The sequence below is a fragment of the Homo sapiens genome, chromosome X (assembly GCF_000001405.40).
Source record: "Homo sapiens chromosome X, GRCh38.p14 Primary Assembly".
NCBI lineage: Eukaryota > Metazoa > Chordata > Mammalia > Primates > Hominidae > Homo > Homo sapiens.
This window is the reverse complement of record NC_000023.11, coordinates 128,765,986-128,790,233: the sequence shown is the minus strand read 5'-3', so window position 1 is coordinate 128,790,233 and position 24,248 is coordinate 128,765,986. Positions and strand designations below refer to the sequence as shown.

General features: G+C 39.8%; 1 long non-coding RNA gene across 1 annotated transcript, besides 2 other annotated features; it reads left to right on the top strand.

The window, feature by feature from the left end:
* Nucleotides 6,797-7,333: an enhancer, noted in NCBI's record as "NANOG-H3K27ac-H3K4me1 hESC enhancer chrX:127916879-127917415 (GRCh37/hg19 assembly coordinates)". NCBI's record gives its function as "activates a minimal SCP1, AML or CMV promoter by ChIP-STARR-seq in naive H9 embryonic stem cells {active_cell/tissue: H9 hESC(naive)}" and the evidence as "EXISTENCE:reporter gene assay evidence [ECO:0000049][PMID:30033119]".
* Nucleotides 7,334-7,871: an enhancer, noted in NCBI's record as "H3K27ac-H3K4me1 hESC enhancer chrX:127916341-127916878 (GRCh37/hg19 assembly coordinates)". NCBI's record gives its function as "activates a minimal SCP1, AML or CMV promoter by ChIP-STARR-seq in primed H9 embryonic stem cells {active_cell/tissue: H9 hESC(primed)}" and the evidence as "EXISTENCE:reporter gene assay evidence [ECO:0000049][PMID:30033119]".
* LOC107985699 (uncharacterized) lies at nucleotides 7,625-23,205 on the top strand. The gene is made up of 3 exons (XR_001755959.1): nucleotides 7,625-8,631; nucleotides 10,066-10,228; nucleotides 23,042-23,205. It is a non-coding gene; the product is annotated as an uncharacterized LOC107985699 (long non-coding RNA).
* The last annotated feature ends 1,043 nt before the right edge of the window (nucleotides 23,206-24,248 follow it).

The following is a 24,248-nucleotide window of genomic DNA, read 5'->3' as shown; positions in this document are numbered from 1 at the left end:
GCTTCTTTGCATTTGGTTAGAACATGCTCCTTTAGCTCAGCGCAGTTTGTTATTACCCACCTTCTGAAGTCTACTTCTGTCAATTCATCCATCTCATCCTCCATCCAGTTCTGCATCCTTGCTGGAGAAGCATTACGATCATTTGGAGGAGAAGAGGCACTCTGGCCTTTTGGGTTTTCAAGCGTTTTTGTTGTTGTTGTTGTTGTTCATTCTTTCTCAGATTCATGAGTTTGTCTAGTATCAATCTTTGAGGCTGCTGACCCTTGGATGGGGTTTTTATGGTGGTCAGTAATGGTATTTAATTTTCATGTTTAGCATTCCCTTAAGGACCTCCTATAAGACAGTTCTGGTGGTAATAAATTCTCTTAGTATTTGCTTGTCTGAAAAGGATTTTGTTTCTCCTTCACTTATGAAGCTTAGTTTGGCTAGATATAAAATTATTGGATGGAACTTCTCTTCTTTCAGGATTCTGAATATAGGCCCCCCAGTTTTCTGGCTTGTAGGGTTTCCGCTGAAAGGTCTACTGTTAGCCTGATGGGATTCCCTTTGTAGGTGACCTGTCACTTCTCTCTAGCTGCCTTTAATTTTTTTCTTTCACATTGATCTTGAAGAATCTGATGACTATGTATCTTGGGGATGGTCATCTTGTATTGTATCATGAAGGGGTTCTCTGAATTTCCTGGGTTTGAATGTTGACCTCTTTATTGTGGTTGGGGAAACTTATGTGGAAAATATCCTCAAATGTGTTTTCCAAGTTGCTTGCTTTCTCTCCCTCTCTTTCAGGGACACAAATTAGTTGTAGATTTGGTTACTTTACCTAATCTCATATTTCTTGGAGGTTTTATTCATTCTTCTTTAATCATTTTTCTTTATTTTTGTCTGACTCAGTTAATTTGAAGAACCTGTCTTCAAGCTTTGAAATTCTTTCCTCAGCTTGGTCTATTCTGCTGTTAATACTTCTGATTGTGTTTGTTATAAAATTCGTGAAGTGAGTGTTTCAACTCTATCAGTTCAGATTGGCTCTTTCTTTTTTTTTTTTTTCTTTTTTTTTTTTTTGGAGCTCCTGCCCACCCAGATTTTTTTTTAATAAAACATCTATTAAACCAGAATTATAGTTGGGAAATACTGCCATATACATAAATATTCTTGGAAAAGCCCAGTCGTTTTTTTAGTTGCTGCTTTGAGCCTTCCACTAAAGATACATTATACTCATAATAATAATTCTCCTATTTGCCCATGATAATGAATAAAATTCTTGTTTAGACAACCACCTTTAGGCCATCTTTTTTGTTCTTTTTATCCCCCTTCAACTTTTAAATTTAGGGGAACATATGCAGGATGCGTAGGTTTGTTACATAGGTAAACGTGTGCCATGGTGGTTTGCTGCACAGATCACCCCATCACATAGGTATTAAGCCCAGGGTCCATTAGCTATTCTTCCTGATGCTCTCCCTCCCCCAATACCCTCCTTGACAAGCCCCAATGTGTGTTTTTCCCCCACATTTATCCATGTGTTCCCATCATTCAGTTCCTACTTTATTTTATTTATTTATTTATTTTAAATTTATTATTCTTATACTTTAAGTTTTAGGGTACATGTGCACAATGTGCAGGTTAGTTACATATGCATACATGTGCCGTGCTGGTGCGCTGCACCCACTAACTCGTCATCTAGCATTAGGTATATCTCCCAATGCTATCCCTCCCCCCTCCCCACACCCCACAACAGTCTCCAGAGTGTGATGTTCCCCTCCCTGTGTCCATGTGTTCTCATTGTTCAATTCCCACCTATGAGTGAGAATATGCGGTGTTTGGTTTTTTGTTCTTGCAATAGTTTACTGAGAATGATGATTTCCAATTTCATCCATGTCCCTACAAAGGACATGAACTCATCATTTTTTATGGCTGCATAGTATTCCATGGTGTCTATGTGCCACATTTTCTTAATCCAGTCTATCATTGTTGGACATTTGGGTTGGTTCCAAGTCTTTGCTATTGTGAATAATACCGCAATAAACATACGTGTGCATGTGTCTTTATAGCAGCATGATTTATAGTCCTTTGGGTATATACCCAGTAATGGGATGGCTGGGTCAAATGGTATTTCTAGTTCTAGATCCCTGAGGAATCGTCACACTGACTTCCACAATGGTTGAACTAGTTTACAGTCCCACCAACAGTGTAAAAGTGTTCCTATTTCTCCACATCCTCTCCAGCACCTGTTGTTTCCTGACTTTTTAATGATTGCCATTCTAACTGGTGTGAGATGGTATCTCATTGTGGTTTTGATTTGCATTTCTCTGATGGCCAGTGATGATGAGCATTTTTTCATGTGTTTTTTGGCTGCATAAAGGTCTTCTTTTGAGAAGTGTCTGTTCATGTCCTTCGCCCACTTTTTGATTGGGTTGTTTGTTTTTTTCTTGTAAATTTGTTGGAGTTCATTGTAGATTCTGGATATTAGCCCTTTGTCAGATGAATAGGTTGTGAAAATTTTCTCCCATTTTGTAGGTTGCCTGTTCACTCTGATGGTAGTTTCTTTTGCTGTGCAGAAGCTCTTTAGTTTAATTAGATCCCATTTGTCAATTTTGGCTTTGGTTGCCATTGCTTTTGGTGTTTTAGACATGAAGTCCTTGCCCATGCCTATGTCCTGAATGGTAATGCCTAGGTTTTCTTCTAGGGTTTTTATGGTTTTAGGTCTAACATTTAAGTCTTTAATCCATCTTGAATTGATTTTTGTATAAGGTGTAAGGAAGGGATCCAGTTTCAGCTTTCTACATATGGCTAGCCAGTTTTCCCAGCACCATTTATTAAATAGGGAATCCTTTCCCCATTGCTTGTTTTTCTCAGGTTTGTCAAAGATCAGATAGTTGTAGATATGCGGCGTTATTTCTGAGGGCTCTGTTCTGTTCCATTGATCTATATCTCTGTTTTGGTATCAGTACCATGCTGTTTTGGTTGCTGTAGTCTTGTAGTATAGTTTGAAGTCAGGTAGTGTGATGCCTCCAGCTTTTTCTTTTGGCTTAGGATTGACTTGGTGATGCGGGCTCTTTTTTGGTTCCATATGAACTTTAAAGTAGTTTTTTCCAAATCTGTGAAGAAAGGCATTGGTAGCTTGATGGGGATGGCATTGAATCTGTAAATTACCTTGGGCAGTATGGCCATTTTCACGATATTGATTCTTCCTACCCATGAGCGTGGAGTGTTCTTCCATTTGTTTGTATCCTCTTTTATTTCCTTGGGCAGTGGTTTGTAGTTCTCCTTGAAGAGGTCCTTCACATCCCTTGTAGGTTGGATTCCTAGGTATTTTATTCTCTTTGAAGCAATTGTGAATGGGAGTTCACTCATGATTTGGCTGTTTGTCTGTGGTTGGTGTATAAGAATGCGTGTGATTTTTGTACATTGATTTTGTATGCTGAGACTTTGCTGAAGTTGCTTATCAGCTTAAGGAGATTTTGGGCTGAGACAATGGGGTTTTCTAGATATACAATCATGTCATCTGCAAACAGGGACAATTTGACTTCCTCTTTTCCTAATTGAATACCCTTTATTTCCTTCTCCTGCCTAATTGCCCTGGCCAGAACTTCCAACACTATGTTGAATAGGAGTGGTGAGAGAGGGCATCCCTGTCTTGTGCCAGTTTTCAAAGGGAATGCTTCCAGTTTTTGCCCATTCAGTATGATATTGGCTGTGGGTTTGTCATAGATAGCTCGTATTATTTTGAAATACGTCCCATCAATACCTAATTTATTGAGAGTTTTTAGCATGAAGTGTTGTTGAATTTTGTCAAAGGCCTTTTCTGCATCTATTGAGATAATCATGTGGTTTTTGTCTTTGGTTCTGTTTATATGCTGGATTACATTTATTGATTTGCATATATTGAACCAGCCTTGCATCCCAGGGATGAAGCCCACTTGATCATGGTGGATAAGCTTTTTGATGTGCTGCTGGATTCAGTTTGCCAGTATTTTATTGAGGATTTTTGCATCAATGTTCATCAAGGATATTGGTCTAAAATTCTCTTTTTTGGTTGTGTCTCTGCCCGGCTTTGGTATCACGATGATGCTGGCCTCATAAAATGAGTTAGGGAGGATTCCCTCTTTTTCTATTGATTGGAATAGTTTCAGAAGGAATGGTACCAGTTCCTCCTTGTACCTCTGGTAGAATTCGGCTGTGAATCCATCTGGTCCTGGACTCTTTTTGGTTGGTAAGCTATTGATTATTGCCACAATTTCAGATCCTGTTATTGGTCTATTCAGAGATTCAACTTCTTCCTGGTTTAGTCTTGGGAGAGTGTATGTGTCGAGGAATTTATCCATTTCTTCTAGATTTTCTAGTTTATTTGCATAGAGGTGTTTGTAGTATTCCCTGATGGTAGTTTGTATTTCTGTGGGATCGGTGGTGATATCCCCTGTATCATTTTTTATTGTGTCTATTTGATTCTTCTCTCTTTTTTTCTTTATTAGTCTTGCTAGCGGTCTATCAATTTTGTTGATCCTTTCAAAAAACCAGCTCCTGGATTCATTAATTTTTTGGAGGGTTTTTTGTGTCTCTATTTCCTTCAGTTCTGCTCTGCTTTTAGTTATTTCTTGCCTTCTGCTAGCTTTTGAATGTGTTTGCTCTTGCTTTTCTAGTTCTTTTAATTGTGATGTTAGGGTGTCAATTTTGGATCTTTCCTGCTTTCTCCTGTGGGCATTTAGTACTATAAATTTCCCTCTACACATTGCTTTGAATGCATCCCAGAGATTCTGGTATGTTGTGTCTTTGTTCTCGTTGGTTTCAAAGAAGATCTTTATTTCTGCCTTCATTTTGTTATGTACTCAGTAGTCATTCAGGAGCAGGTTGTTCAGTTTCCATGCAGTTGAGCGGTTTTGAGTGAGATTCTTAATCCTGAGTTCTAGTTTGATTGCACTGTGGTCTGAGAGATAGTTTGTTATAATTTCTGTTCTTTTACATTTGCTGAGGAGAGCTTTACTTCCAAGTATGTGGTCAATTTTGGAATAGGTGTGGTGTGGTGCTGAAAAAAATGTATATTCTGTTGATTTGGGGTGGAGAGTTCTGTAGATGTCTATTAGGTCCGCTTGGTGCAGAGCTGAGTTCAATTCCTGGGTATCCTTGTTGACTTTCTGTCTCATTGATCTGTCTAATGTTGACAGTGGGCTGTTAAAGTCTCCCATTATTATTGTGTGGGAGTCTAAGTCTCTTTGTAGGTCACTCAGGACTTACCTCATGAATCTGGGTGCTCCTGTATTGGGTGCATATATATTTAGGATAATTAGCTCTTCTTGTTGAATTGATCCCTTTACCATTATGTAATGGCCTTCTTTGTCTCTTTTGATCTTTGGTGGTTTAAAATCTGGTTTATCAGAGACTAGGATTGCAACCCCTACCTTTTTTTGTTTTCCATTTGCTTGGTAGATCTTCCTCCATCCTTTTATTTTGAGCCTATTTGTGTCTCTGCACATGAGATGGGTTTCCTGAATACAGCACACTGATGGGTCTTGACTCTTTATCCAATTTGCCAGTCTGTGTCTTTTAATTGGAGCATTTAGTCCATTTACATTTAAAGTTAATATTGTTATGTGTGAATTTGATCCTGTTATTATGACGTTAGCTGGTTATTTTGCTCGTTAGTTGATGCAGTTTCTTCCTAGTCTCGATGGTCTTTACATTTTGGCATGATTTTGCAGCAGCTGGTACTGGTTGTTCCTTTCCATGTTTAGCACTTCCTTCAGGAGCTCTTTTAGGGCAGGCCTGGTGGTGACAAAATCTCTCAGCATTTGCTTGTCTGTAAAGTATTTTATTTCTCCTTCACTTATGAAGCTTAGTTTGGCTGGATATGAAATTCTGGGTTGAAAATTCTTTTCTTTAAGAATGTTGAATATTGGCCCCCACTCTCTTCTGGCTTGTAGAGTTTCTGCCGAGAGATCCGCTGTTAGTCTGACTGGCTTCCCTTTGTGGGTAACCCGACCTTTCTCTCTGGCTGCCCTTAACATTTTTTCCTTCATTTCAACTTTGGTGAATCTGACAATTATGTGTCTTGGAGTTGCTCTTCTCGAGGAGTATCTTTGTGGTGTTCTCTGTATTTCCTGAATCTGAATGTTGGCCTGCCTTGCTAGACTGGGGAAGTTCTCCTGGATAATATCCTGCAGAGTGTTTTCCAACTTGGTTCCATTCTCCCCGTCACTTTCAGGTACACCAATCAGACGCAGATTTGGTTTTTTCACATAGTCCCATATTTCTTGGAGGCTTTGCTCGTTTCTTTTTATTCTTTTTTCTCTAAACTTCCCTTCTCGCTTCATTTCATTCACTTCATCTTCCATCACTGTTACCCTTTCTTCCAGTTGATCGCATCGGCTCCTGAGGCTTCTGCATTCTTCACGTAGTTCTCGAGCCTTGGCTTTCAGCTCCATCAGCTCCTTTAAGCACTTCTCTGTATTGGTTATTCTAGTTATACATTCTTCTAAACTTTTTTCAAAGTTTTCAACTTCTTTGCCTTTGAATTTCCTCCCGTAGCTCAGAGTAATTTGATCATCTGAAGCCTTCTTCTCACAGCTCGTCAAAGTCATTCTCCGTCCAGCTTTGTTCCGTTGCTGGTGAGGAACTGTGTTCCTTTGGAGGAGGAGAGGTGCTCTGCTTTTTAGAGTTTCCAGTTTTTCTGCTCTGTTTTTTCCCCATCTTTGTGGTTTTGTCTGGTCTTTGATGATGGTGATGTACAGATGTGTTTTTGGTGTGGATGTCCTTTCTGTTTGTTAGTTTTCCTTCTAACAGACAGGACCCTCAGCTGCAGGTCTGTTGGAGTACCCGGCCGTGTGAGGTGTCAGTCTGCCCCTGCTGCGAGGTGCCTCCCAGTTAGGCTGCTTGGGGGTCAGGGTTCAGTGTCCCACTTGAGGAGGCAGTCTGCCGGTCCTCAGATCTGCAGCTGTGTGCTGGGAGAACCACTGCTCTCTTCAAAGCTGTCAAACAGCGACATTTAAGTCTGCAGAGGTTACTGCTGTCTTTTTGTTTGTCTGTGCCCTGCCCCCAGAGGTGGAGCCTACAGAGGCAGGCAGGCAGGCCTCCTTGAGCTGTGGTGGGCTCCACCCAGTTCGAGCTTCCTGGCTGCTTTGTTTACCTAAGCAAGCCTGGGCAATGGCAGGCGCCCCTCCCCCAGCCTGGCTGCCGCCTTGCAGTTTGATCTCAGACTGCTGTGCTAGCAATCAGCGAGACTCCGTGGGCGTAGGACCCTCCGAGCCAGGTGCGGGTTACAATCTCTTGGTGCGCCGTTTTTTAAGCCCGTCGGAAAAGCGCAGTATTCAGGTGGGAGTGACCCGATTTTCCAGGTGCTGTCTGTCACCCCTTTCTTTGACTAGGAAAGGGAACTCCCTGACCCCTTGCGCTTCCCGAGTGAGGCAATGCCTCGCCCTGCTTCGGCTCGCGCACGGTGCGCGCAGCCACTGACCTGCGCCCACTGTCTGACTCTCCCTAGTGAGATGAACCTGGTACCTCAGATGGAAATGCAGAAATCACCCGTCTTCTGCGTCGCTCACGCTGGGAGCTGTAGACTGGAGCTGTTCCTATTCGGCCATCTTGGCTCCTCCCCTTGGCTCTTTCTTAAAAATGGCTATTTCATCTTTCATCTCTTGAATCATTTTACCGAATTCATTAGATTCCTTGGAATGGACTTCAACTTTCTCCTGAATCTTGATGGTCTTCATTGCCATGTAGATTCTGAATTCTATGTCTGTGATTTCAGCCATTTCATTCTGGTTAAGAAGCATTGCTGGGAGTCAATGTGGTCATTTGGAGATAAGGAGACACTTTAGCTTTTAGGGTTGCCAGTGTTCTTGCACTGGTTATTTCTCATCTGTGCTGGCTAATGTTCCTTTAATTCTGGTGTAATTTGAGTATAATCAGTTGGCTTCATTTGTGGATGTTTTCAGAGGGGCGATGCTTTGTACATGATCTTTATTTGTGGCTGAATTTTTCTCCTTGTCTTCACAGGAGGGTATATTAGCAAAGTATTTTTGGTGTTGAAGCTTGGGCCGCAACCCAGTAGATGGCGCGGAAGGATAATGGCTTGTAGTTGGGCTCTTAGCCACATGGCTCCTCAGCGTTTTCTTGTGTTTCCACTCATGTTCTCTCTCTTTGCCCTGAGAATGTGAGCTCCTCTCATACTCAAGTGCTGGCCACAGATCTCAGCCTGGCACTCCTAGGCTGCACACTGAAGCCCTGGGGCTAACTCAGGCTTATTGTTCCCTTCAAGCTTGGGGAAAGCCAGGGCAAGGACCTTGGCAGTGACCATGGCAGAGGGCTTCTTACTTGTCCCTTGAGACCCCCACCCTATAGAAATGAGGAGCCACTGCCAATCAGAAAAATTATCTTGGTGTAGGGTGGCTGCATTATGGGCCCAAGCCAGGGGCCCTGCCTGGTGATTAGCAGTGGGGGCAGGGAGCTCACAGGGAAGACAGTTTGGTCTCTTCTCCATAGGGTGTCTGTGGCATGCTGGAGATGTGAGTAAAGTTCTGAGGCTTTTTGTTTCTTCCCCCACCAGGTGGCAGCAATGGCTGATACCACTGCATTGACAGTGGCAGATGGGCTGTCATTTGCCTCTGTGAACTCCAAACCAGAGAGACACAAAGCCACTGCCAATGGGTATGTTCAGCCTGTAATGGGGCAGTTGCATTGTGGGCCCAAGTCAGCGGGCCTGCTTGGTGAAGATCAGGGGATTGGGGTCTCACAGAGAAGAGAGACTAGGCTCCTCTCCATTTGGCAGTTGTGGCATGCTGGGGGTGCCAGCAAAGTAATCAGGGTCTTTATTCTTTCTCCATCCTGAGGGCAGCAAGGGTGATACCACTGCAGTGGCAATGGCAGAGAGCCTGTGTTGTTTCTGGAATTTCATCCCCAGAGAAACACAGAGCTGCCACTGACTGAAGTACTCAGGTGAGGGGAAAGTGTCTTTGCTGGTGGCCCAGATCAGGAGGCCCTGCCCAGTAAGGAGTAGCAGGGGCAGGGATCCATGTGGAAAACAGTCTGGCTGCTTTTCCACAAGGCAGCTGCGATATACTGGAGGCCTGTGATAGTTCTTGGGCTCTTCTCTCCCTCCCCAGCCTGAGGGCAGTAGGGGCGGGGGCTGAGGCAGTGGCAAAAGCTGCAGGCCTTTTGGTTACCTCTGGGAGCTCTGTCCCAGAGAAATGCAGAGCTACTACTAGCTTGAGTGTTCACGCGGGTGTGGGGTGTCTGTGCCGGGGTTCCAGGCCAGTGGGCTTTGCCTGGTGAGGAGTAACAGAGGTGAGGAAGTGAGGTTTGTGGTTCATCTGCTCCTCAGCGCCATGGGGACATGTGAGAGAACCTGGCTTTCCTTGTTGGCTGAGCTATGGCAGCTGGTGCTGCGGTGCTCAGGGATCCATGACCCTTAGGGCTACACGTAGGCCTGAGAGGTGACTCTGCCCACACTACATACACCTCTCCATGTCAGCTTGGAGGCCCCAGGGGGAGGGGACTGGGGGCTCTCCTGTGCCCAGGATTGAAACAAGCCATGGCAAAAGTGTAGGTCTCCTGGGGTTCTCACTGACTCAACTCACCATTTCCCCGCTGCGGGGAGCCTCTCTTGCCTCTGTGACAATCCCAGGTGGGCAACTGTCTTGCCTCACTCTTCTCTGCTCTCTGTGGGTCACATTGCTTACTTGGTGAATCCCAACATGTCCTCCTGGGAAAATCTCATTGAAGAACTTGTGTTTACTGGCCACCCTATCTCCTGTCCGTGAAAGTGGCATGCACTAGTTGCTTCTAGTCAGCCATCTTGGCACCTTCAGCAGTGAAATCTTTTCTAGTGTTTGTGCATTACAGTATCCTCTATAATATAACCTGTCTCCCTTTCACCATTTTGTTCTTTATGTTTTATTTTTTTCTTTCACTTTCGCTTTTGTTTCTCTTCTTTTTCTCTATTCTGCTGCTCTCCTTTTGTGCTGCTTCTCACACTCTTGCTCTTGCTTTCTCAAGCTAAATAGTTAAGAATGGAAATTGGAATCCTGCATTCACCACTCACATTTATATGACCCTGGACAGCACAATCTCTTTCTGCTGCAGATTTTTCATCTGTGAACTTGGACAGTCATACAAACTTCATCCGGTTGTTGAAAAGATTAAATGAGATAATGCAAGGGCAGAGCAAGATAGCAGAATAGAAGCCTACACCATTTGTACTCCCTGAAGGGGAGAGAAAAGCGCCATCACAATATCTAAAAATCAGGTGAGCAATCACAGTATCTGCTTTTAACTTCATATCGCCAAAAGTGGCATTGAGAAAGGTTAGAGAAACAGTCTTGAATCACTAATGACACCCCTCCCTCATCCCCCAGCAGCAGCCTTGCAGTGAAAAGTATCTGTGCACTTAGGGGAGGGAGAGCACAGTGACTGGGGGACATTATATTGAATTCAGTGCTACCTTGTCACAGTGGAGAGCAAAGTCACCCTGGGCTCAGCCAGCATCCAAACATGGAGGGAGTATTTGGACCATCCTATCTAGTGGGGAATTACCTATCCCATAAAGTTTCTCAGCAATCCTCACCATCACGGGCCAAAGTACTCTGGGGTGGTAGGTAAACTTGAAAGGCAGTCTAGGACACAAAGAGTGCAATTCCTGGACAGCTCCTAGTGCAGGACAGGGCTCAGAAGGAGAGGACTAGGGTGGCTCATGACCTAAGGAGACACCAACCAAGATAGCTAAAGATGTGCTTGTCCTACCACTCCCCCAGCCCCAGGCAACGCAGCTCATAGCAATAACAGTATCTCCTTCCTTCTGCTTAAGGAGAGGAGAACAAAGAGTATAGAGGACTTCACCTTGTATCATGAAAAACACAGCTCAGCCACAGTAGGATTAGGCACCAGGCAGAATCATGAGGCCCCCAGTCTAGGCCCTAGCTCCTGGATGACATTTCTAGATACACTCTGGTCCAAAATGGATCTCATTACCTTGAATCAAAGAAGCCAGTCCTGGCAGGATCAATCACCTACTGACGAAAGAGCCCTTGGGCCCTGAGTAACCAGCAGCAATACCCAGGTAGTATACTGTGACCCTTGGGCTCTGAGATTTGCTTACTTCAGATGTGATCCAGCACATTCTCAGCTGTGATGGTGATGGTGAAAGACTCTGTCTGTTTGAAAAAAGCAGAGGAAAAGTAAATTGGACTTTGCTTTGTACCTTAGGTACCAACGTGCCCACAGTAGGGTGGAGCAACAAGCAGGCACTTGGGGTCCCCAAAACTAGGCCTAGGCTCTCAGGCAGCATTTCTAGACCTGCCTTGAGCCACAGGGGAGCCCACTGTCCTGAAGAGTGATTCCCAGGCCTGGCAGCATTCACCACAAACTGACTGAGAAGCCCTTAGTTCTTAAGTGAACACCAACAGTGGCCTGGCAGAACACTCCTGGTGGGGTGGTGGTGATGTCCACAGGGAGGGGCTCCTTTGCCTTTGGAAAGAAGAGGAAAGAGTGGGAAGAACTTTATATTGTGATTTGAATGCCAGCATATCCACAGTAGAATAGAATATCAGGCAAATTTCTAAGGTCTTTGATTCCAATCTCTGGCTCCCAGAAAGCATCTCAGGACCCACCTGGGGCCCGGGGGAGCTCTCCACCCTGAAGAGAAGAACACAAACCTTGCTGGATTTGCTATCAGTAGATTGTAGAGCCCTAGAGCCTTGAGTAATAATAGTTGTTAGCCAGTAGTGGTTACAGCAGGCCTTGGACAAGACGCAGTGATGTGCTGGCTTCAGGTCTGACCCAGCTCTAGGAGTGGCCAGAGGGGTTCATGCATAATCAAACCCCCAGTTCCAGGCAACTCAGCACAAATAAACTGTTGATTTGGGAGAAAATAAGGGTAAAGAACAAGAGTCTCTGCCTTGTAATCTAGAGAATTCTTCCAGATCTTAACCAACACCACCAAGATGGTACCTCTATGAATCTGCAAAAACCACAACAATATTGGGCTTGGGGACCAAGTCCATTCAAATTCCTAGAACACCTTCCAAGAAGGATGGGCATAAACAAGCCCAAACTGCAAAGACTACAATAAATACCTAACTATTCAATACCCAGACACCAACAAACATGCACAAGTATCAAGATCATCCAAGAAAACATGACCTCACCAAATGAACTAAATAAGGCATTGGGGACCAATCATGGAGAAACAGAGACATGTGACCTTTCAAACAGATGATTCAAAATTGCTATTTTGAGGAAATTCAAAGAAATTAAAGATATCACAAAGAAGGAATTAAGAATTCTTTCAGAGAATTGTAACCCAGAAGTTGAAATAACTAAAGAGTAGAGCAGAAATTCTGGAGTTGGAAAATGCAATTGACATACTGAAGAATGCATCAGAGTCACTTAATAGCAGAATTTGTCTATCACTAGAAATAGTGAGCTTGAAGACAGGCTGAAATTACACAATCGGAGGAGACAAAATAAAAAAAGAATAAAAAACAATGAATCATGCCTGCAAGCTCTAGAAAAAAAAAGGCTCAAAAGGGCAAATCTAAGAGTTATTGGCCTTAAAGAAGAGGTAGAGAAAGAGATAAGGGTAAAAAGTTTATCCAAAGAGATAATATCAGAGAACTTCCCAAACCTAGAGAAAGATATCAATATTCAAGTACAGGAATGTTTAGAACACCAAGCAGATTTAACCCAAGGAAGACTACCACAAGGCACCTAATAATCAAACTCCCAAAGGTCAAGGGTAATGAAAGGATCCTAAAAGCACCAAGAGAAAAGAAACAAATAACATACAATGGAGCTCCAATACATCTGGCAGCAGACTTTTCAGTGGAAGCCTTACAGGCCAGGAGAGAGTGGCATGATATATTTAAGGTGCTGAAGGAAAAAATCTTTTACCCCAGAATAGTACATCCAGCAAAAATATCCTGCAGGCATAAAGGACAAATAAAGACCTTCCCAGAGAAACAAAAGCTGAGGGATTTTATCAACATCAGACTTGTTCTAAACAAATGCTAAAGGGAGTTCTTCAATTTGAAAGAAGAGGATGTTAATGAGCAAGAAAAAAATCATCTGAAGGTACAAAACTCACTGGTAATAATAAGTACACAAAAAAAACCCAGAATATTGTAACACTGTAATTTTGGTGTGTAAACTATGCTTAAGTAGAAAGACTAAATGCTGAACTGATAAAAAATAATAACTACAAGAACAGTTCACGACACAGATAGTACTATAAGACATAAAGAGAAACAAAAAAAAATTTAAAAATGAGTGGATGGAGATGGAGTTAAAGTTCAGAGTTGTTATTAGTTTTCTTTGTGTGTATGTGTTTGTTTGTTTGTGTCTACAATCAATGTTAAGTTGTCATCTGTTTAGAATAATGGCTTATAAGATAGTATTTGCAAGCTTCACGGTAACTTCAAATCAAAAACCATGCAATAGATACATAAAAAAAACAAAAAGCAAGAAATTACATCATACCCCCAGAGAAAATCAACTTCACTAAAATGAAGACAGGAAGGAAGAAAAAAATGGAAGAGAAGACCACAAAACAACCAGAAAACAAATAACAAAATGGCAGGAGTAAGTTGCTACTTATCGATAATAACATTTGATATAAATAGACTAAACTCCCCCATCAAAGACATAGAGTGGCTGAATGGATGAAGAAACAGGGCCCCATGATCTCCTGCCTGCAAGAAACACACTTCACCTATAAACATATGCATAGACTGAAAATAAAGGACTGGAATAAAGTATTCCATGACAATGGAAACCAAAAAAGAGCAGAAGTAGCTCTACTTATATCAGACACAATAGATTTCAAGAGAAAAACTGTTAGAAGAGACAAAGAAGGCCATTTATATATAATATAAATATATTTATATTTATATGTAATGACAAAGGGGTCAATCCAGCAACATGATATAATGATTGTAAATATATAATCACCCAACACTGGAGCACACATATATATAAAGCAAATATTATTAGAGCTAAAGAGGAGATATAGACCTCCATACAATAATAGCTGGAGACTTCAGCACCCTACTTTCAGCATTGGATATATCTCCCAGATAAAAACACAACAAAGAAACATCAAACATAATCTGCACTATAGAACAAATGAACCTAATAGATATTTACAGAACATTTCATCCAAAGACTGTGCAATACACATTCTTCTCAGCATGCGGATCATTATCAATGATATACCATATGTTAGGTCACAAAACAAGTCTTAAAATATTTAAAAAAATTGAAAGCGTATTAAGCATCTTCTTTGACCATAATGGAATAAAACTAGAAATCAGCATCAGGAAGAATTTTGGAAATTATACAAATACATAAAAATTAAACAATATGCTTCTGAATGATAAGTGAGTCAAAAAAATCAGAAGAAAATTGTCAAACTTTTTAGAAGAAATTATAATGGAAACACAACATACCAAAACCTCTGTGATTCAGTGAAATCAGTACTAAGAGGGAAATTTTTCGCTATAAGTGCCTACATGCAAAAAGAAGAAAAACTTCAAATAGATAACATAGTGATACATGTTAAAGAACTAGAAAAGCAAGAGGAAACCAAACTCAAAGTTAGCAGAAAAAAATAAATAGTCGCAATCAGAACAGCAATAAATGAATTTGAAATGGTGAAAACAACACAAAAGATCAATGAAACAAAAAGTTGGTTTTTTGAAAAGACAAAATTGACAAAACTTTAGCCAGACTAATGAAAATAAAAGTGAGAAGACACAAATAAATAAAATCAGAGATGAAAAAGGAGATATTACAACTGATACAACAGAAATTCAAAGGATCATTAGTGGCTACTATGAGCAACTATATGCCAATAAAATGGACAATCTAGAAGAAATGGACAAATTCCTAGACATGTACAACCTACCAAGCTTGAACAAGGAAGAAATCCAAAACCTAAACAGACCAATAATAGGTAATGAGATCGAAGCCATAATAAAATGTCTTTCAGCAAAGAAAAGCCTGGGAGCCCATGGCTTCACTGCTGGATTCTATGAGATATTTAAAGAAGAATACCAATCCTATCCAAACTATTCCAAAAGATAGTGAAAGAGAGAATATTTCTAAACTCATTTTATGAGGCCAATATCATCCTGATACCAAAACCAGACAAAAACGCAGAAGGAAAGAAAGAAAAGAAAAGCCACAGACCAATATCTCTCATGAATATTGATTCAAAAATCCTCAACAGAATACTAGCAAACTGATTTGAACAACACATTAAAAAGATAATTCATCATGATGAAGCGGAAATTACCCCAAGGATGCGAGGATGTTTCAACATACCCAAAACAATCAATGTGCTACATCATATCAACAGAATGAAGGACAAAAACCATATGATCGTTTCAAATGATGTTGAAAAAGCATTGATAAAATTTAACATCTCTTCATGAAAAATATCTTTAAAAACTGGTCATAGAAGGAACATCCCTCAACAAATTAACATACATGACAGAACCATAGCTAGTATCATACTAAATAGGGAAATGCTGAAAGCCTTTTTTTCTAAGATGTGGAACAAGACAAGGATGCTCACTTTCATCACTGTTATTCAACATTGTACTGGAAGTTCTAGCTAGAGCAATCAGACAAGAGAAAGAAACAAAGGACATCCAAATTGGAAAGGAAGAAGTCAAACTATCTTTGTTTGCTGATGATATAATTTTTTATTTGGAGAAACCTAAAGACTCCACCAAAAAACTATTAAAACTGATCAATTCAGTTCAGTTTCAGGATACAAAATCAACGTAAAAATTAGTAGCATTTCTATATGACAACAGTGTACAATATGAAAAAGGAATAAAGTAATCTCATTTACAATAGCCACAAATAAAATTAAATACCTAGGAATTACCTTAACCAAGGAAGTAAAAGATCTCTACAATGAATACTATGAAACACTTATGAAATAAATTGAAGAGGACACCAAAACATGGAAAGATATTGCATGTTTATGGATTGGTAGAATCAATATTGTTAAAATGTCCATATGACCCAAAGCAATCTACAGATTCAATGCAATCCCTATCAAAATACCAAAGACATTCTTTATAGAAATAGAAAAAATTATCCTAAAATTTATATGGAACCGCAAAAGACCCAGAATAGCCAAAGCTATCCTGAGCAAAAAGAACAAAACTGGAGGAATCATATTCCCTGACTTCAAATTATACTTACAGAGAACCACAAAAGACCCAGAATAGCCAAAGCTATCCTGAGCAAAAAGAACAAAACTGGAGGAATCATATTCCCTGACTTCAAATTATACTTACAGAGTTATAGTAACCAAAACAGCATGGTAATGTCATAAAAACAGACACATCGACCAATAAAACAAAATAGAGAACCTAGAAGAAAATCCACACACCTTTAGTGAACTCATTTTTGACAAAGGTGCCAAGAACACATACACTGGGGAAAGGACAGTCTCTTCAATAAATGGTGCTGGGAAAACTGGATACCCCATATGCAGAAGAATAAAACTAGACCCCTATACAAAAATCAAATCAAAATGGATTAAATACCTAAATCTAAGACCTCAAACTATGAAACTACTACAAGAAAACATTGGGGAAAATCTCCAGGACATTTGTCTGGGCAAACATTTGATCAATACCCCACAAGCTCAGGAAACCAAAGCAAAAATGGACAAATGGGATCACATCAAGTTAAAAACCTCCTGCACAGCAAAGGATATAATCCACAAAGTGAAGAGACAACCCACAGAATGGGAGAAAATATTTTCAAACTATTCATCTGACAGAATGTATAAGGAGTTCAAACAACTCTATAGGAAAAAAATCTAATAATTTGATCAAAAAACTGGGCAAAAGATTTGAATAGACATTTCTCAAAAGAAGGTAAACAAATGGCATACAGGCATACGAATAAGTACTCAACATCATTGATCATCAGACAGCTGCAATCCAGAACTGCAATTAGATATCATCCCACCCTAGTTAAAATGGCTTTTATCCAAAAGACAGGCAGTAAAAAATGCTGGCGAGGATATGCAGAGAGAACCCTCATAAACTGTTGGTGGGAATGTAAATTAGTACAACCACTATGGAGAACAGTTTGGAGGTTCCTCAAACAAATAAAAATAGAGCAAATCCAGCAATCCCACTGCTGGGTACATACCCTAAAAAAGAGAAATCAGTATATCGAAGAGATATTTCTCTCCCATGATTGCTGCAGCACTGTTCACAATAGCCAAGATTGGAAAGCAACCTAAGTTTCCATCAACAGATGAATGAGTAAAGAAAAATGTGATACTTAGATGCAATGGAGTACCATTCAGCCCTAAAAAGGAATAGGATTCTTTTATTTGCAACAACATGGTTGGAATTGGAGGCCATTATATTAAGTGAAATAAGCCACGTGCAGAAAGAAAAATTGCATGTTCTCACTTATGTGTGGGATGTAAAAATCCAAACAATTGAACGCATGGAGATAGAGAGCAGAAGGACGGTTACTAGAAGTTGGGAAGGGTAGTGGGTGGGGGGTGGGTTGAGAGAAGGTGGGGATGTTTAATGGGTTCAAAAAATAGAATGAATAATACCTAGTACTTGACAGCATAACAGGTGACTCTAGTAAAAATAATTTAACTGTACATTTTAAAATAATGAAAATATTATAACTAAATGGTTTGTAACACTGAGGATAAATGCATGAGGAGATGGATAACCCATTTTCTATGTTGTAATTATTATACATTGCATGCCTATACCAAAATATGCCATGCACCTCATATACACCTACTATGTACCCACAAAAATTAAAAATAAAAAATTTAAAAACAAATTTTAAAATTGAGATAATGTGCATAAAATATTTAGTGCTGTACCTGTTACATAATAAACAATTATGTTTAACATTCACATTCTTTTCTCTTTTTCTTCTTTCTTTCATATTTTGTTTCTCTTTTATGTGTTGTTATTTTTCCCTGCCTCTTATTCTCATCAGTATTAAACTCCACTCTTCAGCACTCTTAGTTTGTCTCAGCAACTGGATAGCTCTGTGCAGGTACTTGACAACTTGGGCTCTGCTGACACATCCTTTAATCTCTTTCCCTTAGCCTTTCCTCCGTCTGGAAGTCATAGTGATTTTTTACTAAATTGCAAATATTGCCATATAATTGTCTGCTCACAACCCTACCTATAGTATATAATCCTACATCCTCATCATAGAATACAAGGCTTTCCATAATATTGCCCCTAGCATCATATTCAAACTTCATCTCTGCCACTGAAATAGCTCATAAAATAGGATTACATACACATAGGTGTGCTTTTTCCTCAAACACACCACATTCTGGTTCCTCTGAACCATGGTGCGTCTTCTTCCACTTTACCTGGTGAACCATCAAAATCCAGCCATAAATTCTTTCCCAACTCTGTTTTCCATATTTGATTCTTCTTTCCTTTTTGCTCCCACAGAAGTTTATGCAAATCACTATGGCAATGCCTATCACAATGTTAGTATGGATATACCCAAGTAGATTCTGAGCCCCTAAGATCAAAGATATGTTTTGCTTCTCTTCATTATTTCTGGGTCCTATAACTGAGCCTGTAACTCAACAAATAAACATATTGTATTTCTAAAATTAGTTTTCACCAGTCTGGATAAGATTTATATTTAGGATTTATGTCTACATAGCTGATATGATTTAAGTCAACTTTGATGTCTTTGCTCAATTGCAGACAACCCCAGAGAAAAGTTGCATAATGGCCCTTTCTGTGTATCTTTGAAAATGGGCAAATAATCCTAAAATATATAGGAACAAATTGTGTAAAGATCAGGAGATGGACAAGGGTCACACTTCAAGTCCCCTCTCAGCCGTAGGGTTCTATTTTAACAAGCCATAGGCCTAGTATATCTTGGGAAGTACTTGACAATTATGATAAATTATTATTTTTATTACCTTTCTATCTAAAGGTTTCAGATAACAGAGTAAAGATCAATAATCTTCTTTTGTGTTTCTCCTGGGGGAGAGGGGATAGGTGAAGGATAGTATTTTGTTTTCCAGTTTTGCTGACATATTGGCCTCCTTCCCACTTCTGAAGATCTGCCCTTTTTACTCTTTGGTTTTACAACTGGACTGTTTCCTGTCTGGCTTGCAAGCCATTTGCAATGGAAATTAGATATAATCTCTTCCATATAGGAATTTAGGAAAGAATTCTAAGAAAAAGTTAGTTGAAAACCTTTGGATCAACAAATTTCAAAGCTTGTAGACACAAAAATCTCTAGATGCTGAAGAAAGAGTGGAATCTAGGTGTAGGGTTGGTGGCTTTCACTGGTGTAAGCAGAAGGTGATAAATTGGAATGGGTTTCTTTAAGAAATGATGAAGAAAATAGATGTGAGCAGGAAGAAAGACTTAACCATGTATCAGAGAGAGATTACACAATGTTCCTGGAAGCCGGAACACTGAAGCAGATAGCTAAAGGTGATGGGAGACAAAATGAGGGGAAAGTAAATTGACTTGTTTATTTGCTAACCAAGGAACAACAAAAGGGAAGAAAGGAGAAATAAGGAAATGAACATGTAGGGGTGAAAAAGGCAAGTTGTCTGACTCAGACTCTCTCCAAGAATCTTAACATAAACAAGAACCTGGTCATCCTTAAGGATGCATTCATCCCGAGAACAAGTCAATACAGCTGACTAATTTCAAATGAGAGCCCATCTTATCTGGGCAACTGCTCCAAACAGACCAAGAAAATGTATGCTGAAATGAGAAACATGAGAATCATAAGATCCAGTACAGAGTCTTGGCAGCCCTATCAACAAGCAGCTGTGTGGCCTTGGACAAGTCACTTCCTCTCTCTATTTTTTTATTCTGTTCTCTGAAATGAAGACAATTAAATTCTGCCCTCAATACCTCATAATTGGCTGTGAAAATCAAATGAGCTGGCACTGAAAACTTTGATTATGGGGGCTTCTGTCAGGTTTTTATCTTTTTTTTTTTTCCAGAAAGATACTAGAGGACTGTTGCATATAGACCCAGTAGTCATGTCTTCAATTCTTTTATTTTCATAGTCTTGCCCAGGTCTAGAACTTGTTGGGCAGGCTGGCAGCAACATTACCAATAGATTGTATAATAATTTTTAAAGCTTTAGAAATGATAAATCCATGCACTTCCTGTGGCATTGATTATAAAAGTAAAATAAAAGCTCAGCGATCAGGATTGTGTTCTGTGTGTACATTCTGCATGGTTCCAGGGGAAATAAAACAGACATAAACCAACTCAGTAGCCTTAAAGCTGTGCTAATCCCAAGAGCCAAGGTCTTTACGAGCAGAGAGAACAGATTGAGCTTCTAGAAGTAAGGAGAGATGTGGGATGTTTACATTTTGCTGAACGAAGAAAAGAATGGGCCAACTGTCCTTTGTATTAAAAAAATGACATACTTTGGACCCAATAGCTGTCTTCTTTTAGTTTTTCTTCAGTAGTCAGGGTGGATTTGTACTGAGCCATCCTCATAATCTTACTTAAGCCAAAGTCTCCCTTAGTGTGGTGACTCACTGAACTGAGGTTAGGACTTAGTCAGTGGCCTGAGCTAGAGCAGCAGCTATAGCTGCTTAAACAGTTTTTCTCTGTATATGTCAACCTTCTACATTAGCTTTGTTAATATTGGTTTCTAACCAAACAAACTGTCTGTCCCAGCTCAAATGACACAGTGTTGTTTGCAAATTTTTATTCGTAGATACCTAAACATATATTAAGAGGCATATTGGTACAATTATTCAATGCACATGGCCACACCCATGTGTGTCTGTGTGTGTGTGTGTGTGTGTGTGTGTGTGTGTGTATGTGTGTATGGTTTATGTGTTCATTGGTACAATGCTTAGTGCCACTCATGATGTTAGTAGAATCGTTAGCTATGGAAGGGAATTAGCTAAGTATATCCATTCTATCATGTGGCTTTTCCATCCATCTACAAGGGCCTCTGAGTCTTCTAACAGATCATCTGGCCTCTGCTGGCAATTATGGGAAGAAAGAATGGAGGATACATGGGAGGATTTTGTGGTTCAGGGCTAGAAGTAGTTCATGTTAATTCTACCCACATTTCAATGTCCAGACTATCACACTGCAAGTAAGTGTCTTAGAAATATAGTGGAGCTTGTTTTATTAAAGGAAAGGAAACAGATTTTGGTGAACACATTGCAGTCTCTGCCATGCCAGTTTGTCTGAAAATGGAGTTTGGAATTTTTTTTGTTTCATTTTTATTTTATATGATTTCTAAAAGGAGAAATAGCAAGATATTGAAATAATGTTTCCTCGATGTACATATTAAAAGCCTATAGAATAATGGATAACAGAATGAACTTTGATGTCAGAAAGACTTAGATTCAAGTTCCAGTCCTTGTACCTCTAGCTGTGTGACTTTAAGCCAGTTGTGTAATGGGGGCCTCAAAATGTTGTTGTGAAGAGTCAATGAAAACGTTAGTGTAAACTTCTTTATCTTGGAGCTGGCAGTATTATGATTAGTAATAATAGTAGCAGCATATTGGCAAGCAAAACATAGATTGGTCCGTGAGGAGTCAGAGGCATGAGAAGTAGATACAGTTAAGACCCATGTGGGCTGAGATATGCAAGGGCACGTTCAGATTAGCAATTACAGAGGATAATGGCTTTCAGTAAACCTTTAGGATATTGGCCAGTATAGTAGGTTTTCTTTTAGCCTTGGGGGTGGTGTAGTTATCTCATGCAATCTTGTTTAGGCCTTACTGTTGAGCTTTAAGTTCTAGAAAATCTCTAGAATTGCTGCTGTTTGATGCTGGGCCCTGTCTCTACCTATGCCACTCCATGAGATCTCTCTGGGCAGTAATATTTTCAATTCAACGTTTTTTTCCTACCTGATCAATACGTATCAAGTCACATACTATTAACTATCATACCATCATACCGTATCCCTTCCCTTCTCAACCTCTGTCCATGGAGTCATATCTCCAAGAAACCTGTCTTAATTAGTTCCATGCTTATTCTTCTTTCTCATTGGCTCATAAAATATTGTTCAGTTGACTTTGTAATTATATATTTTTCAGCTCTTTGAGAGGGTCAGTAAACTTTTGTCTTGCATTTATGTGTTTGGACAATAATTAGATGGTCAGATTCTGAGAAGTATGGACAAAAAAGCTTTCCATATTTTCTTCATGTCCCCTCTAAAGTACCTAAAATTGACTTTTCACACAGCAGTCATTCAGGGAAAGTTGAATGATTAACTGCCATTTCGTTATATCCCTAGTGTACTGCCAGATTCTTCAAGTAAAGCTGCAAAAACAGTCCTTGTACTTTCTGCTGCCTCTCTAGAGAAGGGAGAACTGATAACAGCTGAGAGTTTGCTGGAGAATTTCTCAGGCCCCTAGAAAATAGTGCCTGTTTTGAACACATGGCTGAATAGTGCTTTGGAAGATGGACAGATTTTTGGGGGGTACCAGAGGGCTTTGCAAATGAGCAACATTGTATATGTGTGACGTCACTGTCTGGGCCAGGATCCACAAGGGGTCATAGGAAATATTGAGAATTGGCTTCCATAGCAGTAAACCAATTCTGTTCTGCTTGAGTTGTTCTAAGAAATAGAGCAATAGGACTTGGCATTCGTGTAAGTGGAAGGATTTGAAAGCCACGAGGCAGTAAGTGATTGAGGTTAAAGCCATTAGAGGAATGGTGTTTAACACATTGTTAATTGGGTAATGGGGAAGAAGGTAACTGGGCAGTCCAGAGAGACACAATGCTTTGAACAGAAGGAAGGAATTTGGCCTGCACTAAGTTGTGTGGTAAAAAGCTGTATATTTCTCTTTTGTGCAATGCATCATCTCTCACTAAATAGATTGACAAGTAGTCATCTTGGATCTATTCAGGCCAGCAGAGCAGTAGAGAGGTTCTTGGAGAAGTGTCACTGTAGATAAAAGAGAAACCCTATGTATTGTCCTTTGCAAACTAAGTTGCCATTCTTTACCACTGTAACTGCCATTCAGCAGACATTTACTGAGGAAATGCTGATTCTATACTATGCTCTGTTTGAGGTGATGAGAATTCAGCAGTGAAAAAAGGCAGTGGCTTCTGACCCCTAAAAAGAAGACACATAAATGGCTGACCACCACATATCACAGTATGAGATGTTTCTCTTGAAGGGAGGAGAGTTTGTGGCACTAAGAGGTACTGTCTCCCTTATGATCATCAGTAAACTTTGTACTTTGTAAAATCACATTATTTTTATCTCTAAAAGTGACAAAAGCTAAAAATGTGGATAATATAAAAATATAGCAAAGGGAATTATTTATAATCCCACAAGAAATAATTAATTTTTTATTATTTCATTCATTTTCATTTGTATTACATAGATGTACGTAAACATTAGTTGACGCACTGTATATATTTCAATCCTGTATTTTTATAGTAAATTAAATAATTTTTATATTATTAAAACACCACAAATATTTTAATGGCTGAGTAGCATTCCATTGTGGATACATCATATTTTACTCAACCATTCTCCAATTAACAAAGATTTCAAACAGTAAACATTTTTGAAATGTTTAGGATAGACAAACAATTGAGTTTGCATCTATTAATTAGTTTATTTAAAAGACTTATTGACTGCAAGAAAAACAGAGGGAGAAAGGGAGGAAGGCAGAAATGAAAAGAAAGGGGGAGGGAGAGAGGAAGGAAAGGAAATAGAGAGAGAAAAAGAGAGAGACACTAGATCTGGTTATATCTGATTCTGTTATGTAATGCTGAGAATAATATCCCCAAGATTCCCTTTGGTGATCACTTGTCTATCAGTTTCTCGGCATAACTATATTGTGACCTCAACATTAGGACCTCATGGATATTAATGGTCGATATAAGGGCATGGACTTTCCCCTTTGGTCTTCATAGTATTTGAGAGTTTGCCTTTGGTGGGATTTGGAAGAACATGGAATCAAAGTTTGGCATTGAGAAACCCTGGAAATTTTAATAAGAAGGCAGGGGAAGCTAAAAGAAGATATTTTTCCTTTTCTTGGCTAGGAGACTAGGGTACTGCAGAGTTTGAGGCAACACAGTTCTTAAAACCACACTCAGGTGCAATGTTTAAGGACTCACAGAACTTACCGAAAGCTGTTATATCCATGGTTATGAATTATTACAGCAAAGGGATACAGATTAAAATCATTCAAGAGAAGATATGCATAAGGCAGAGTCAAGAAAAGTTGCAAATATAGAGCTTCTAGTTGTCCTTTCTTAAGGAGT